The following is a 17,826-nucleotide window of genomic DNA, read 5'->3' as shown; positions in this document are numbered from 1 at the left end:
CACCATGCTCGTTTGTTTGAGAATTTTCTGTACCTGTTTTTTTGACATACAGTATTGCCCAGGAAGCTGAAAATATTTACTCTCCTTTATGGAAAATGTATTAAGTCCCATGGGCTAAACAGATAGGCAGAAGGGACAGTTAAGTATCAATATTTTATATTTTTAAAATATATTTTTTAAACAGTCCTTAGAATATCACACTTTAAAATAATTTTAGGTAAGATCAGTGTGGGCATTGTTGATTTTTTTTTTTTCTTTCTTTCTTTTTTTTTTTTCGAGATGGAGTCTCGCCCTGTCACCCAGGCTGGAGTACAGTGACACGATCGCGGCTCACTGCAACCTCCGCCTCCTGGGTTCAAGCAATTCTTCTGCCTCAGCCTCCCAAGTAGCTGAGACTACAGGTGTGCGCCACCATGCCCGGCTCATTTTTGTAGTTTTTATTAGAGACGGGGTTTCACCATCTTGGCCAGGCTGGTCTTGAACTCCTGACCTCATGACACATCCGCCTCTGTCTCCCAAAGTGCTGGGATTACAGGCATGAGCCACCGTGCCCTGCTGGGCATTGCTGAATTTAAGCCAGTTTTGTGAGCCTTGGTTTTCTAAATGATTTGAATACTGTTTACTTTTTGTGGTATAATATAGAGAGTTTACATGCTAAGTTCTTAAGTTCATTGAAGGTATTAGTAAGGGCATGAGAAATAACACAGGAGTAGAATTAGGTGGATCTAACATAAGCTATATAAAAGTCAACAGAACAATTTATTTGAGTTAAAAAGAGGAGGGCTGCTGCCCCAGACCTCACCTTTAGTTTCATATGGGCCGGTTTCTGATGACAAATGGAATGAATCATAATTTTTAATTGTTTTGGGCATTTATTTTTCACAAAGTTGTCTAGCTTTGAATGTATGTAGTTTTCTTTCAGAATGAGTTGTTTAATTATCAAGGAATGCAACAAGCTATATTTTAAATTTTAAAATGAAATAAAGTAGAAAACGTGATTTAATTAAAACATCAGTCTGCAACGATCTTTAAGAAAATAAGAATGTAGAGGACCTGAATGACATAATTTATATTTCCTGTAGCTGTTAAATTCCACACCCCAAAAACAGAACGTTACACCTCTTTTTTAGAATAACTATGGAATGATTTGAAAAATAGTCTCATTTCTGAAGAAAAAAGAGTTGAACTCTGAGATCTGTTAGTAGAAATATAACAAAAACAAAAGCAACTCTTAGAAATTAAATCTCTAATAAACTCATTGGTTAAAGCAAAATTTTAGTCTGCAATGGGAGAATATCTAGGAAAAATTAAAATTAAATCACAATATATACAAGGCAGGAAAATCACATGATCCTGGGAGGCGGAGGTTGCAGTGAGCCGAGATAGTGTCGCTGCACTCCAGCCTGGGCGATAGAGCAAAACCCTGTCTGAAACACCAAAAAATAAAAAATAACAACAACAACAACAAAAACACAATGTATAAAAAATCTTACAAAGTTCAGCTTAGCTACAACTTTAGAAAATATGCTTCTTGAAGTATATGTGTCCTTTCATTACTAAAAGTGAAGACTAATAACACTTGAAAGGCTCACCTAGAGTTTTGTTTTTTTGTTATTTTTTTTTAAGAAATTCATCTATTCTAATAAGTCTTTAGAACATATTATTACTTTCAGATTAGAACCTTAAAAACAAAAATGATATGAGGGATCCAGGAACTATTTCCTTTCTTAAGAAGCTAATTTCTTACCTTCTTTTAAGACTCTTTTCATGAATTCTGGAAAGATGGAAGAAGAAGTGATACAGAAAAGAGAAACCTTAGGTCCTCTTTTGGAACAGATGGTTGTACTTGTATGATATCTTAAGAAATTTATGGCATCCTTACAGATTGAGTTAGAATTATTTTGTGAGATTTTCAGTGACTCATTTCTAAGTTCTTTTGAGATGGTGTTTGGAATAAAAGCCTTAAACTTTTTTTTAACAAGTAAATTTGGTATTAATGAAACTTTTTTCTAGATTTTCATTGGTATATGCTCTTATGTGGAAAGTGGATATCAGCTATGAATTACATAAATTGCATTTGTTACATTAATATCTCACCCGAATGGCAGCAGTTTTCTGGATATCAACATGTGTTTGTTTTTTATTGCTTATGTAAATCTCATGTAACCATTCCCCAAGGTCTAAAAAATAATCTAACTGAAAACAGTTTTTTCATGTTCCTCAAACTTGCTTTTAGAATAGTGCTGGCATAAGGATTTGATTTATTGTAAATATGATGCACCATATCAATCATGGAATTATTTGAATGTTTTTTGGAACTTTTGTGGTAAATTCCATATTTCTCCAGGACTTTTTTGTGTTCTTTCTGTTGACAAGTACTTTAAAGTTTTAGCAAGTATCACTATGTTGATTTCATGTAGGTTTATTTATTGTTTAGTGCTTGAAATGATTTTCTGTGTAAAATCAGTTTGAGAATTGGTTCGTCTGTCTCTGCATTTGCTGTGTTTACCTGAATTTTAAGTACAAATTGGAAATCGGTATCAGTGTGGGAATCATCAATTGTCTTTTCCGTAAACTTTTAAAGCCATTACAGTCACATTATGTATTAAAAGTGTGTTTAGATCTAAAGTCTAAATTTGCTTTTTGTTAAAATGTAGCATATTTGAATATCTGCACTAAAATTGCTGAAAAATGTGTTACTGCTTAAGCAACCTTAACAACGCTGTGCAATTATGACTACTGGTGATAATAAACTCTTCGGTATTGCGGGGCGGGGGTGGTTCTGAGAGGCAATTTCTTTTTGCCAGATTATTTAGTAGAATAATAATTAAAATTTATAAATATTTGGAAAAAGGGTAGGGTCAACAATGAATTGTGGGAAGCTTTAAGAAATATATAAAAATATTTCATTTTCAGTATTGTATTTGCATCTCAGTTTCCTGATAGATTTCTGTTTTGATTTTCTGCTGACAGGTCACATTTAGGGCAGGCAAAACATAAGGGATATAGCCCTCCTGAGAGTAGAAAATCTAATTCTAAGGCACCCAAAGTGCAGTCTAATACTACTTCTGAACTGTCAAGGGGACACCTTTCTAAAAGGTAAATCTTCATGTTGCTTATACATTTTCAAGGCAGAATTATTTGCATTCAAATCATTGCATAATGTTAAAACTTGAGGTTATTCCAAAACGTTTTGATACATATTTTCATTATTCTCTAAGTAACTTTTAGGATTGACAGTTTATCACCTTTGCAGTGATTAGTGCAGTATACCCTAGACAGTGAGTTTGTCAATGATAAAATGATATTTTTGTTTGGAGAGCCGTAAGATTCCCCCTTTGCTTAACAAACCATTATGGCCATTTTTTATTTCTTTTTATTTTTTAATCTTTTTTTTAGTTTTTATTGTCAGAGCCATAGTTTAGGTTTAAGTCAGTGATTCTTAAGATTTAATTGTTAAGAGACTTTGGAAAGCAATGTTAACTTTGAAGATTTGATAGTACTACAATATAAAAATCTCTAACCTTCATTTTGAAAGTGCGTATGTTAATGCTTATTTCTTCTAAGCTTTGACAAAGCAGTTGTGCTTGTGAATAGGGCATCAATATTCTGGCTTCCTCTGGTTCCGAACAATTAAGTGTTGTTTTTCTTGTAATCTTAATTCTTGTTTTGTGATTACGAGTGTTAGTGTCAGTAATCTTTGGGCTAAAGAACACCCTTATCTTTTAATCAGATATTTTAGTATCCAAAGTCACATCTGCTTTTGTTTTGTTCTTTTATTTCGTTTTACAGATTTGAACCTTCTGAAAACCTATGTTTAATACTGGACTTAGTAGGAACATATTCATACTTTATTTTTTGAAAGCATTATATATGACAGTTGTAATTATGACAGGCTGATATTAACTGTTTTCTTATCTAACCTCTTAGAAGCTGCAGTTCATCATCTGCTGTGATAGTTCCACAACCAGAGGATCCAGACAGAGCCAATACTTCAGAAAGACAAAAAACGGGGCAGGTGCCTAAGAAAGACAATTCTCGAGGAGTGAAGCGCAGTGCTAGTCCAGACTACAACAGGACCAATTCTCCTAGCTCTGCAAAAAAACCAAAAGCACTTCAGCATACTGAATCTCCCTCAGAAACAAATAAGCCACATAGTAAGTCAAAGAAGAGACATTTAGACCAGGAGCAACAACTGAAATCTGCACAATCACCATCAACAAGCAAGGCTCATACCAGGAAGAGTGGGGCCACTGGCGGTTCACGGAGTCAGAAAAGAAAAAGGACAGAGAGTTCTTGTGTAAAGAGTGGCTCCGGGTCTGAATCAACTGGTGCAGAAGAGAGATCTGCGAAACCTACCAAGCTGGCTTCAAAATCAGCCACCTCAGCCAAAGCTGGGTGTAGCACCATCACTGATTCTTCTTCTGCTGCCTCTACTTCCTCCTCGTCTTCTGCTGTAGCCTCGGCCTCCTCCACTGTACCACCAGGTGCCAGAGTGAAACAAGGAAAAGATCAGAACAAGGCCAGGCGTTCCCGTTCAGCGTCCAGTCCCAGCCCCAGAAGAAGTAGCAGGGAAAAGGAACAGAGTAAAACTGGTGGCTCTTCAAAATTTGATTGGGCTGCTCGTTTCAGCCCTAAAGTTAGCCTTCCTAAAACAAAACTGTCTCTTCCAGGGTCTTCTAAGTCAGAGACATCAAAACCTGGACCTTCTGGATTACAGGCCAAATTAGCAAGTAAGTTTACAAAAAGGTATTTTTCTTTAATTAAAGAAAGTTTCTCTTGGTTTGTCAAAAGCAATTATGCTTTAAAGTTAAGGGTTTTTTCCCCCCAGTCTTAGATAATCTTAGATGTATTACTGTCTGTGTAATTAAGTACATAACAGCATGTAGTAAGTGCTACTACATTTAGTTTTGTTGAGACAGGTAAGGAATACTACCTTCCTATTATTACGAAACCATCACATTTTAGTGTCTGTGTCTTTATTGGTCCTCGCGGCATCTCCTACTTCACTGATTTCCTAATATCAGGATGGGACATAAAGTTGGATTTTCTTCTATACCACATACAAAATTATCATTTAGTTAGGAGTTCTTTTTAGTTATGAGTTGCCATGATCAGAGATCAAATATATATATGTTTTTTTAGATGGAGTCTCACTCTGTCGCCTAGGCTGGAGTGCAGTGGCGCAGTCTCGGCTCACTGCAACCTCCGCCTCCTGGGCTTAAGCAATCCTCTTGCCTTGGCCTCCAGAGTAACTGGGATTACAAGTGTGCACACCATGCCTGGGTAATTTTTGTGTTTTTAGTAGAGATGGGGTTTCACTGTGTTGGCCACGTTGGTCTCAAACTTCTGACCTCAAGTGATCTGCTCACCTCGGCCTCCCAAAGTGTGGGGATTACAGGTGTGAGCTACCATGCCTGGCCAAATATATTTTTTTATATGAGATATTCTTGATGTGTAGATACAGTGAATTAAGTTATTACTATAAATATACCTCAATGTAAATTAAACTTTTTCATATGTAATATCTCACAGTCTTTTAAGGAGTTTTGTCTAAAGATGAATACTACTTATGTTTCACTACTCTTATATACACTACTCTGTGTCCTAAGTGAGTAAGAATATTGCTCTCTAAAAGTTTACAGTGGAGTAGAAAGAATTTGTGTTTTGAGAATACATTCAAGCAAAGAAACAGAAAGTAGATGGAAGAAACATAGCGTTATGTGCATTCCTTCATGAGTCAGTTTTGGAGATATCCAGGAACTCTTCTCCCTCTCTCTTTACCAAAAGACTTCTTCAGGGAACCAGCTGCTCATCTGGGGAATGCTAGTGTCTTTCTTTTCTTTCCTCCCTTCTTTTTTTTTTTTGAGACAGAGTCTCACTCTGTTGCCCAGGATGGAGTAGTGGTGTGAGTGGTACGATCTTGGCTCACTGCAACCTCCACCTCCTGGGTTCAAGCAATTCTCCTGTCTCAGCCTCTCCTGAGTAGCTGAGATTACAAGTGTGCGCCATCACACCCAGCTAATTTTTGTATTTTTAGTAGAGAGGGAGTTTCACCATGTTGGTCAGGCTGGTCTTGAACTGGGACAAGTGATCCACCTGTCCCAGCCTCCCAAAGTGTTGGGATTATAAGTGTGAGCCACTGTGCCCAGGCTTCTTTCCTTATTTCTATTTCAGAAACCTATAAAGGACAAATAGGATAATAAAGCACTTATCTCTACAATTTTTAAAAGCATTTTAATTTTATAATACCTAATTAGGAAGCTTGCTTTTAAGCATCTTTTCTTCTCTGATGGATTTTAGATCTACATTTGGGTAGGGCTATAATGTTTTCTTGGTTTAAAAAGATTGTATATAGTGTCTACTAGCATTCTTGTCAAAGTATAGCTCATATTGAATCAGCCTAACTTAAAATTGAATCAGAACTATTAGCTCTGTTTAATTTAACACTGCAGTCTAAAACTACTTTTGGTTGATTCACATATTACCTGAAATGACAATACTATTAATAGTAGGTACTATATAAAAAATTTTATGTTTAACCTGTATGATAGGTTATTGTGAAGTAACATATTTTACTTTTAGATTGAACTTTGTTCTGTTTTGGTATTTTAAATATGCAGAACATCTGTATAAAATGTTTTAAGTTTAAAGGATTAAGATAGGCTAGATCAGTATCTTGAAGTGAGAAGGAAAAAAAGGTCCAAGTTAAAAGGACAACCAACTATTTGTCCTTCCAATGCTTTATTGATAATTGGAGTTACATATGTCAGCTTTTATGCTGCCTTTCCTCCCTGTGTTTTGTGTCTGTCAGTCCTGCTATGTAATATTCACAGCCAGTGAGCCAGGTTGAGTTTACAGCAAGCTGCTTAGGATTCACTTCCCCTTCTGCCTTCCAGTCTGCCTCACTTGAAGAACTCATCTCTTATGTGTAGGAGGGTTCTAGGGCCAGGCAATAGCAGATTGTACTTGAGTGTCATGGCCTTGGTCCTTTGTAGAGATCAGCTTTCTTTTCTTTATATAGTCTGTTAACTTGATTTTTAAAAGAAAACCCAACTCTACCAGTGGCTAATCAGTGGGATTTTCTCCTTGGTGTTTCAATCAGGAAACACCAAGAGTTTTGGCAGTGTCATTTTGCTGCTGGTTTGATAAAACCAATCCAGATAATTCCATTAAGCCTGCTCAGCACATAGTCACAAACTAATTTAGTATTTTAAAACTCATTTCACCATTATTTCATTCACTTGCACAGTATCTGTGTTCTGTTGTCACTATTAAATCACTTTTCCGTTTTCACTGCCACTATCCCAGTTCTGATCTCTCATCGTAGCCTAAGCTGTTGAAACAAGAGAATGGAACCAGCGTTTGTGTAGCATAAAATAAGTACCAGGTATTTTACATATGCAGTTACATATTCTTTTAAAAAAAATGGTGCTTTAGGATACACTTTTTTTTTTTTTTTTCTGAGACAGAGTCTTGCTGTATTACCCAGGCTGGAGTGTGTGTAGTGGCGCAGTTGGCTCACCGCAACCTCTACCTCCCAGGTTCGGGCAATTCTCGTGCCTCAGCCTCCCAAGTAGCTGGGATTACAGGCGCATGCCACCATGCTTGGCTAATTTTTGTATTTAAGAGACAGGGTTTCGCCATATTGACCAGGCTGGTCTCGAACTCCCGACTTCAGGTGATCTGCCCGCCTCAGCCTTCCAAAGTGCTGGGATTACAGGCCTGAGCCACCATGCCCAGCCTAGGATAGTTATCAAGGAAATGTATTCCAAGGAGATGAAATAACTTCTCTGAGTAATATACCTCATACTTGGCAGAGTTAGGATTTGAAGATGGGGGTAGTAGGTGTGACCTTGAATGAAGCATTTTCTTTTCTCTTTTTTTTTTTTTTTTTTTTTAAACCCTTGTTAGTTTCTGTGTTTTACTGTTGTAACATAATTGGGCCATTTGGAGATACTAAGACTCTAGAGAAAATGAAATGTTATTTGGTCCTTCATTGATAGTATTGATTAAATTTAGAGATGAATACTATGTGGACCCAAGGATTCATACCATATCATTCACCATATATTTGCTGTTTTTCAAATAAATGAAAACATTTCAAAACAAAGTAGCATGTATTTACTGTGCTTTTAAGTGCCTGACAGTTCTGAATACCTTACATGAGTCATCTTATTTGTTCCTCATCGGTCTTGTATAGCAAGTTGTTGTTTTTTGTTTTTGTTTGTTTGTTTTAAGATGGAGTCTTCCTGTGTTGCGCAGGCTGGAATGCAGTGGCATGATCTCAGCTTACTGCAGTCTCTGCCTGCTGGGTTCAAGTGATTCTCCTATCTCAGCCTCCCAAGTAACTGGGATTATAGGCACGCGCCACCATGCCCGGCTAATTTTTTGTGATTTTAGTATAGAGATGGGGTTTCACCATGTTGGCCAGGCTGGTCTTGAATGCCTGACCTCAAGTGATCCATCCCCCGCGGCCTCCCAGAATGCTGGGATTACAGGCATAAGCTACTGTGCCTAGCCTTTGTGTGGCAAGTATTTTTATTCCCAGTTTACCGGTTAGGAAGCTTTGGATCATTAGTAAAGTTACCTGTCTAAGGTCACAGAACTAAGAAGTGACAAAGCCGAGTTAAAACCCAGGCCAGTTGATCTCAGAAATTGGCCTTGAGGACAGAATGATAGGGGTGAACAGATAGGGCAAGCTCAGTCTGGGTAGGTTTCTTGAAGTCAAAACAAGGCATTGTGCATTTTAGGCATGATTAAATGTGTCACTTCAGAAAATAGTTTACAATAGAATTAATTGGCAGGTAATGTTTCTTAAGGATATAGGGGCAAAATGTGGTATTTTATGATTGTCTCTGGGTTCAGGTAATGATATTTTGAGGAGTAGAGCCAAAAATGTTGGATTCAAATCTTAGTTCTGCCATTTTTTCAGTTGGTAACTGTGGGGAATGTTTGTAACTTGTTCTCCGTAAAATGGGCATAATAGCTATTTGAGGAATAAATGAAAACATTAGAAGACTTAGCATAGTGCTTAGTACACAGGAGGCATCACAAAATTTAGGGTGTACAACTGAAAGTGAATATCTTAAGGCAGAAAACATATTCAAAGGAGCATTTTGAGAATGGGGGATCAGTAAGTCCTGGCCATTGGTCAATTTTAAGGTAGCTATTAGATTTGGAACACCAGATTTAAAGTTTTTTTATTTCCTAAAAATCAAATACTACATGTTGTCATTTGTAAGTTGGAACTAAATAATGTATACACGTGGACATAGAGTGTGGAGTAATAAACATTGGAGACTGAGAAGGAGATGAAGGATGATAAATTACCTCATGGCTGTAATATACATTATTTGGATGATGGCTAATACCGAAAGCCCAGACTTTGCCACTAAGCAATATATCCATATAACAAAACTGCACTTGCACCCCTTAAATTTACACAAGAAAGTCAAAACTAGGAATATATATACAAATAAAATTGCATAATTTTATATGTAAACATGTAACCTATATAAATGGATACATCAACATAAATGAAAACAAAAATGTCAATATTAATACATGTACATTGCTTTAAAAAATATTATCTCCTCATAGTTTGGCGAGGTTGGGCAAATCATTCAGCTGTAGTTATGATACCAACCCTATTACTAATCTTATTTGCAAAATAATAAGATTCCTCCTTGTGAAGCATAAATGAAAGATTTTCAAAGTTGTTTTCACATATGAAGTGCCATAGAATGCAGCAACATATTGTAATGTACCATGTAATGTTGAATTGAGAGTTATGGTCATGTATGTATGTATGTATGTATGTATTTTATTTATTTATTTATTTTTGGAGTCAGAGTCTCATTCTTGTCGCCCAGTCTGGAGTGCAGTGGTGTGATCTCTGCTCACTGCATCCTCCCCCTCCTGGATTCAAGTGATTCTCGTGTCTCAGCCTCCCAAGTAGCTGGGATTCACAGGTGCCACCACACCTGGCTAATTTTTGTATTTTTAGTAGAGATGCGGTTTTGCCATGTTGGCCAGGCTGGTCTCGAACTCCTGACCTCAGGTGATCTGCCCGCCTCGCCCAGCCAGGTCATGTATTTAAAGGGCTTTTGTATGCATCAGGGTTTTTTGTTTTAACGTTAATTCAGAGGCCAGAATTAGATTCAGTGGGTGGATGAAAGTTGAGAGATGGGCTTCTGATTAATACAAATCTTAGTAGAATAAAAATCTAAAAATTATATTAAAAATAGAGTAGGCCATTGTGAGAAATTTCACATTGGGTAGGTTTTTTATTTTATTTTGGATATCCTTTGTTTTCTTCCAGTTTTTAAGAATTGAACCTATTTGAATGTGATGTGTTTCCTTAGGTAAAGACTTATTCTAAGACATAATTGGTCAGTAGGAGAGCTTTCATAGTAAAGGAAATGTTTTAAAAATTGTAGGAACAACAGTATTTTTAAGATGCTTTATGAAAAACCATTCTCCATGTTCAAGTATTATTCAAGGAGATTCTAGATAAGCAGGAATATATTGAAAGCTGTGGGAAGACTTGCAGTAACTTCTTAACCCAATAATTTGCAAATTAATTTGACCAGCTATTACTTGGGAACCAGTAGTGGTTCATGGAATACACTCAGGAAATGATATAATACATTTAGTGAGGAAGCTTAAACAGGAAGACCTTGTTATTGTGCTGCTTAGTCAATTGTTGATAGACCAATGAACAAGTTCCCGGCGAGGCACTAGGGCTGGCAGAAGATCTAGTGAAACCGCTACTTTAGTGATAGACTTCCTGAAGCATTGCTGCTTGCCAGCTGTATCTCATCAAAACAGCTCTGAGACAAAGGTCATTCTGTGTTACTTGGTAAAAGTCTCCTGAGTACCCCAGAAAGAAAATTGTTATGTAACAATTTTTAATGTACATTAGGAAGTTATAGCTGTCTCTTGTTTAGCCTAAGTAAGTAGACATTTTTGCAAATTTTATACAGCATAAATATAAAACCAGTAGGGTAATATAATGATATAGATGGCTTCAAAAATCTTTTTATATTTTAATATACTTTAAATAATTTTATAATAGTTTGGCTTCAAAATATATTTTGCTAATCTACCTTCTTATAAAAGCTAATTTAAAAAAAAATTTGCAATAATTTCAAAGTGAGTAGATGATGATGGTATAGAATTATAAGAAACAATTGGTGATCAAAATCTGAGTAATTATGGAACCTGTTTATAGAAAAACTTAAGTTATATTTCCAGGCAGATGTTCTATTGAAGATCTACTTTACTCTCTATTATTTAAAGTGGACATCATGTGCACGTTATTAGTAACATAGCAGTAGTTAACAGCTTACTTTTGTCTTGAGTTTCATATTCTCCTGGTGACTTTGCATGTAGCCTGTGGTTTTTATCAGACCTAGACAAGAACCAGGCAAAAGCCAAATTCTAGAAAAGAGATTCTGATTAGATTAGGAAGACTTAGTGCTTTGGGCCCCTAGCACGGAGGGAGGAAATAAGAATGAGTTAAGCAGGAGAGATGAATTTAAGTTAGATACATGGTTTTGTGTCCGGAATTGGTGGATTCTTGGTCTCACTGACTTCAAGAATGAAGCCGCGGACCCTCATGGTGAGTGTTACAGCTCTTAAGGTGGCGCGTCTGGAGTTTGTTCCTTCTGATGTTCGGATGTGTTTGGAGTTTCTTCCTTCTGGTGGGTTCATGGTCTCGCTGGCTCAGGAGTGAAGCTGCGCGGTGAGTGTTACAGTTCTTAAGGCAGCACGTCTGGAGTTGTTCCTTCCTCCCGGTGGGCTCATGGTCTTGCTGGCTTCAGGAGTGAAGCTGCAGATCTTCGCGGTGAGTGTTATAGCTCATAAAAGCAGTGTGGACCCAAAGAGTGAGCAGTAGCAAGATTTATTGCAAAGAGTGAAAGAACAAAGCTTCCAGTGTGGAAGGGGACCCGAGCGGGTTGCCACTGCTGGCTCGGGCAGCCTGCTTTTATTCTCTTATCTGGCCCCACCCACATCCTGCTGATTGGTAGAGCCGAGTGGTCTGTTTTGAGAGGGTGCTAATTGGTGCATTTACAATCCCTGAGCTAGACACTAAAGGTTCTCCATGTCCCCACCAGATTAGCTAGATACAGAGTGTTGACACAAAGGTTCTCCAAGGCTCCACCAGAGTAGCTAGAGAGTGTCGATTGGTGCATTCACAAACCCTGAGCTAGACACAGGGTGCGGATTGGTGTGTTTACAAACCTTGAGCTAGATACAGAGTGCCGATTTACAATCCCTGAGCTAGACATAAAGGTTCTCCACGTCCCCACCAGACTCAGGAGCCTAGCTGGCTTCACCCAGTGGATCCTGCACCGGGGCTGCACGTGGAGCTGCCTGCCGGTCCCGCGCCATGTGCTCGGACTCCTCAGCCCTTGGGTGATCGATGGTACTGGGTGCCCTGGAGCAGGGGGCGGCGCTCGTCGGGGAGGCTTGGGCTGCACAGGAGCCCACGGAGGTGGGGGAAGGCTCAGCCATGGTGGGCTGCTCTCCCGAGGCCTGCGCTGCGGGAAGGCAGCTAAGGCCCGGCGAGAAATCGAGTGCAGCGCCGGTGGTCTGGCACTGCTGGGGGACCCAGTACACTCTCCGCAGCCGCTGGCCCGGGTGCTGAGCCCCTCATTGCCTGGGGCCGGCAGGGCCGGCTGCTCCTCCGAGTGTGGGGCCCGCCAAGCCCACACCCACCCGGAACTCCAGCTGGCCCGCAAGCGCCGGGTGCAGCCCCCGTTCCCACTCGCGCCTCTCCCTCCACACCTCCCTGCAAGCTGAGGGAGTGGGCTCTGGCCTTGGCCAGCCCAGAAAGGGGCTCCCACATTGCAGCGGTGGGCTGAAGGGCTCCTCAGGTGCCGCCAAAGTTGGAGGCCAGGCAGAGGAGGCGCCGAGAGCGAGCGAGGGCTGTGAGGACTGCCACACGCTGTCACCTTTCAGTTTCACCAACTTGCATCTTGCAGGATCATCTCTACTTGCGTGAAAAAGGTAGATAATCTGTGAGCTCTGTGAAGAGTTGGGCAGGGAGCTTAAAAGGAAATGGGTTGAGTGTCAGTTTTCTATATTACAAGGCAGCTATTAAAGTAATTTAGCAACTTAAAAGTTTAGAAGTTCCAATATGTGACCGCTTTGAAAAATTACTAACAAATAATCCTAGTGTTTTTGAGGCTTTAAAAAAACTTTAAACAGAAGTGGCCAAATTTAAAAAAGAGATCATTTAATTGTAAATACAGCATTGACTTCTTTGTTAACAAGGCTTTGCTTTGTATTACATTGTTTGGAAATTATAAATGGCCATGTTATATATTGTTTTGTATGCAAGGTCAAAATAAGAATTAAATTAGCCAAATTATGTTTTACTCAATTTACATTAGTAATTGCCCTTTATATTCTTACGTGTATTCTGGAATGGTTTTGACACTTCTGATTCTGATATATGTTTGTTAAAAGTAATCCAGAAAGTACCAAAATATACAAAGAAGAAAAATACAAAATCACTTTTAATTTCATTCACCAAGGGCTACCTCTTTTTTTTTTTTTGGTGTGTATTATGCCAAAAATTTTCACTTTATATTTATCAACACTTATGTGCAGTGTTAAGTGAAAGAGTTATATAAGACCTTTTTTTTCTTCTTCTTCAAGAAGATAATCATAGCTTACTGCAGCCTTGATCTCAAAAGATTCAAACAGTGTTCCCACCTCAGCATCCCGGGTAGCTGGGACCACAGGCACATGCCACCATACCCAGCTAATTTTTTTAGAAAGATTTTTTTTTTGTAGAGATGAGGTCTCACTATGTTGCCTAGGTTCGTCTCAAACTCCTGGACTCAAGCGATCCTCCTATCTAGGCCTCCGAAAGTGCTTGGATTATAGGCATGAGCCACTATGCCTGGCCAGATCTATTATTTTTTTTTAAAGCAGTCTTTCTGCCACTTTGCCCTTTTCTGTGGCTGATTATTTTGAAGTTTCAGTGTCTAGATTATGTGCTTTTATATGTCCCTTTGTTGATTCTTCTCCCCCACCCCCAAGTGTTTGATCCCTGTTGTGTTCCCCTTAGGGAAAATGAAGATTTTGCATTCTAACCTTACCCCACCCCATTCACCTACCAAACACATACTGTTACATACTTCCTGTCTTCCCAGTGATGATCAGCACGCAGGGTTTATTGTATCGTGAACATCTAAATGTTATTTACACTGAGCCACGTAAAGGAACATTTCCTTTCTCACACATTTTTGCTTTTCCTGAATTTTAAATTCCTTTTTGTTGTTGTTTTCCTTACTTTCCCATGAACTTACTCAAACTCCACATTCCTTACTAATTGTCACAATCTTTTCTCAAGCTGTCTGCATGCATTTGTTTCATCTTGAAGAAATGAGGCCTCTGGATGGTTGTTCATTATGCCTGGTTATACGGCTTCAGCCTTGGGATTTTCTTCAGTCTTCTTAGTTTCCCTTTTCTAGATTTCATGTCATCTTGGTTTCTTGTTTTGGTGGAATATTTCTTCTTGACTCTAAGGAAAAGTATGAGATTTTAATAATTTACAATTTATTTTTTCAAAATTTAGATGTCTGAAAATGTTATACCACCCTGATATTTATTTGCCAGATTGGTGAATATAGAGTTCTGGGTTGGGAATTACTTTCCTTCAGAATTTTCAAGAATTATATAGTGTATTCTGTCTTTCAATACTGGCACCATTCCTAGTTCTGATTTATTCCTTGATAGGGTGACCAACTGGTTTTGCTTTCTCTGGATCTGGGGCATTCTGAAGACTCAGGACTTACAGCTCTAAAACCAGCATAGTCCTAGGCAAACTGGGACTGTTGGTCACCGTGTACTTGTTTGTTTTCTCTTTCTTGATTTTCTATTGAGTGCTTGTCCTCTTAAATGGTCTTGATCTTACTGTTTGACATTGCTTTCCTTTTTCGTTCTGTTTCTGGTAGATTTCTACATCTTCCAACTTTTCTCTTGAAATGCTTTTTTTCCCCCATGTTTGCCATGTTTTATTTCCAAGAGGTGATTTTGTTTTCATTTTCTTGTTTATAGAATCATGCGTTTGGTTTATGGTTGCATTTCTTTTTTGATGACATTAATGGTGAGTTTTCTTTGCCTGTGTAATCTCAAGTATTTGTGTGTGTGGGGGGGGCGGGGGGGGCCTGCATTTTGGATTGGTTTTGTCTTTCATGTTAGGAACTTTCCTCATATTCTGGTAATTCTGGTAATTCCTGGTTGTCTCCTCATACTCAAGTGTAATTCAAGACCAAAAGTCTAATTTATAAGCTCTGAGTACATAAGGGAGGTTTGACCGAGATTCATTGTTTAGTGATCTGGTTGGGTCATTTTGTTGTAAACTTCCTCTTATCATTATTTTTAGATCTTTTTTTCTTTAGCTGGTAAAATTCCACAGAGAAGATTGTTTCAAACTTCTGCCTCAAGGTGAAGCCCTAAGTGCCTGAGTTCTGGGGGCCAAGTGGGAGAAGAGGCCACAGATGGAGGCAGGATAATGTATATTGTCAGACAGTATGTCTGTACTCGATTCCCTTCTCTCCCTCTTATTTTTGGTGTAGTGAACCTATTTGTACTGTGTACTTTAGTCAGGAATTTCTATATTCTATACTTCCTAAAGAATAAAGGTCTTGTTTTTTGCTGGAACCAGGAGAGGAATGGTTACCCAGCTGTACAAGTGTGGGAGAGGATCTGAGGATCTGATGCCTTGTAAACAGCCTATCAGCCAATCTTCAGTTTTAATCCCAACACTGCCCTAGAGGTATCTGGCATCATCAGATCCTGAGCCTTTTTGGGTTTCTCTGGTGTCAGTTTGATTGGTAGTTAATCTCAGCTTTCTACTTTCAGCTTTCTGGACTTCCCAGTGCATTTAGCCCCGGCATTTCTGGTTTTCATCTCCTAAAATTGTATTGTAACAATAGTGTCTTCCATTCTTCTCATCCTTGTAGATTTATGTCTCAGATTGTTTTAATGCTGTATTAGTGGCATTTCATGTGGAGACAGAAGTGAGTGCATGTGTGTTAAGTCTTCTGTCTTTACCCAGAAGGGAGACACTTCGCTAGGCATATGCAAAAGTATGATCTCGCTGTACATGACAGTGGGCATTACTTTTTGAGTGCCTGTTATGTGGCCAGGCTCTGAAATAGACATTTGATGTCCGTTAAATTTCATCTTCAGAATGACAGAGCAAGGTAATAGTTGTGGAGAAACAAAAGTGCATTATTTGTCTAAACACTTTGTAATAGAGTGGTTTCCTTTCAAATAACTATAAATTACATCATTCGTAATGGCTAGATATGGATGTACCCTAATTAAGTATAGCTTTGTAATTTACACCACTCTTTCCTTGTTAAGTCACTGGTTATATTCTTTTTAGATATTGACATATATTTTGAAACTGCACTTAGAAATACATGAATTCCCACCAGCTGTGTAAAAGTGCCAACATGTTCAAATCCTTATTAAATAATAACTGTTTTCTTGCAACTTTAATTACCATACTGTTTTATTTAACTATTCCCTGTTATTGGGCATCTAGCTCCTTTCTAGTTTCTCCTCATTATAAATACTGCTTAGATGAATACCTTTGGACATTTCCAATATTTGTAATTCATATTGACAAATCAGTGCATGAAATGCTGTGCATTGACTAGGAAATAAAAATTTGCTTTAAAAATTGCATTTGGGATTTAGCTCATTATCTGCAAAATCTGTCTTATTATTACTGAGTTATTTTAAAATAAAAGTCTGTGATTCCTTTTTATAACCTCATAGATTACTTTTCATTTTTTTAAATTTATTTTTACCAAAGTAACCATTAATATAGTTACACGGGCATACCTTGGAGATGTTAATGCACTCAGTTCCCAGCCACCACAAGAAAATTAAAATCACAGTAAAGTGAGTTCCATGAATTTTTTTGTTTCCCAGTGCACATAAAAGTTGTACTTACACTATACTGTAATCTAGTAAGCATGCAATAAATAGCATTGTGTCTAAAAAAACAATGTACATGGCTTAGTTAAAAATATTTTATTGCTAAAAATTGCTAATGATCATCTGAGCCTTAGCAAGTCATAATCTTTTTGCTGGTGGATGATCTTGCCTCAGTGTTGATAGATGTTGACTGATCAGGGTGGTGGTTGCTGAAGGTTGGTGTGATTGTGGAAGTTTCAAAACGATAAAGTTTGCAGCGTTGATTGACTTTTGCTTCCACGAAAGATTTCAATATAGCATGCGATGCTGTTTGATAGCATTTTATCTATAGTAGAACTTCTTTGAGAATTGGAGTCAATTTTTTTCCAACCCTGCTGCTGCTGCTTTATCACTAAGTTTATGTATATTTTAAATCCTTTCTTGTCATTTCAGTGATGTCTACAGCATCTTTCCATGAATAAATTCCATCTCAAGACAAAAACTACCTGCCCCCCCCACCTTTTTTTTTTTTTTTTTGAAAAAAAGAGAGGCTCTCGATCTGTCACCCAGGCTGGAACGCAGTGGTGTGATCATAGCTCACTGCTCAAGTAATCCTCCTTCCTCAGCTTTCTGAGCATCTGGGACTACAGGCTTGTGTCACCGCACCCAGCTAATTTTTTTTTTTCTTCGTAATTTTTTGTAGAAACTATGTTGCCCAGGCTGGTCTCAAACTCCTGGCCTCCAGCAATCCTCCTGCCTCTGCATTCTGAACTGCTGGGCTTACAGATGTGAGCCACTACACCTGGCCAGGCGTTTGTGTTTTAAAGATCATCATAGTCATCCCCTGATATGCCTATAAATGTAAATGACTTG

The 17,826-nt window shown here is 38.3% G+C and overlaps 1 protein-coding gene across 61 annotated transcripts in view, besides 2 other annotated features; it reads left to right on the top strand.

Moving 5' to 3' along the window:
• Positions 1–17,826, top strand: part of TRIP12 (thyroid hormone receptor interactor 12) — a 159,350-nt gene that overhangs the window by 59,682 nt on the left and 81,842 nt on the right. For 26 of the 61 annotated variants that reach the window (XM_017005283.3, NM_001284214.2, NM_001348319.1 and 23 more), the window contains 2 exons: positions 2,974–3,099; positions 3,931–4,733. The exons of 1 other annotated variant lie outside the window; for it this stretch is intronic. In XM_017005283.3, coding sequence (XP_016860772.1) covers positions 2,974–3,099; positions 3,931–4,733 — 929 coding nt within the window. The remainder of the gene's footprint in view (positions 1–2,973; positions 3,100–3,930; positions 4,734–17,826) is intronic. 34 more of the 61 variants (NM_004238.3, NM_001348331.1, XM_047446381.1 and 31 more) reach the window with 3 other exon arrangements.
• Positions 11,991–12,669: an enhancer, noted in NCBI's record as "H3K27ac-H3K4me1 hESC enhancer chr2:230715552-230716230 (GRCh37/hg19 assembly coordinates)". NCBI's record gives its function as "activates a minimal SCP1, AML or CMV promoter by ChIP-STARR-seq in primed H9 embryonic stem cells {active_cell/tissue: H9 hESC(primed)}" and the evidence as "EXISTENCE:reporter gene assay evidence [ECO:0000049][PMID:30033119]".
• Positions 12,670–13,349: an enhancer, noted in NCBI's record as "H3K27ac-H3K4me1 hESC enhancer chr2:230714872-230715551 (GRCh37/hg19 assembly coordinates)". NCBI's record gives its function as "activates a minimal SCP1, AML or CMV promoter by ChIP-STARR-seq in naive H9 embryonic stem cells {active_cell/tissue: H9 hESC(naive)}" and the evidence as "EXISTENCE:reporter gene assay evidence [ECO:0000049][PMID:30033119]".

Source organism: Homo sapiens, chromosome 2, assembly GCF_000001405.40.
Source record: "Homo sapiens chromosome 2, GRCh38.p14 Primary Assembly".
Lineage (NCBI taxonomy): Eukaryota > Metazoa > Chordata > Mammalia > Primates > Hominidae > Homo > Homo sapiens.
This window is presented reverse-complemented; position numbering and strand designations above follow the sequence as displayed.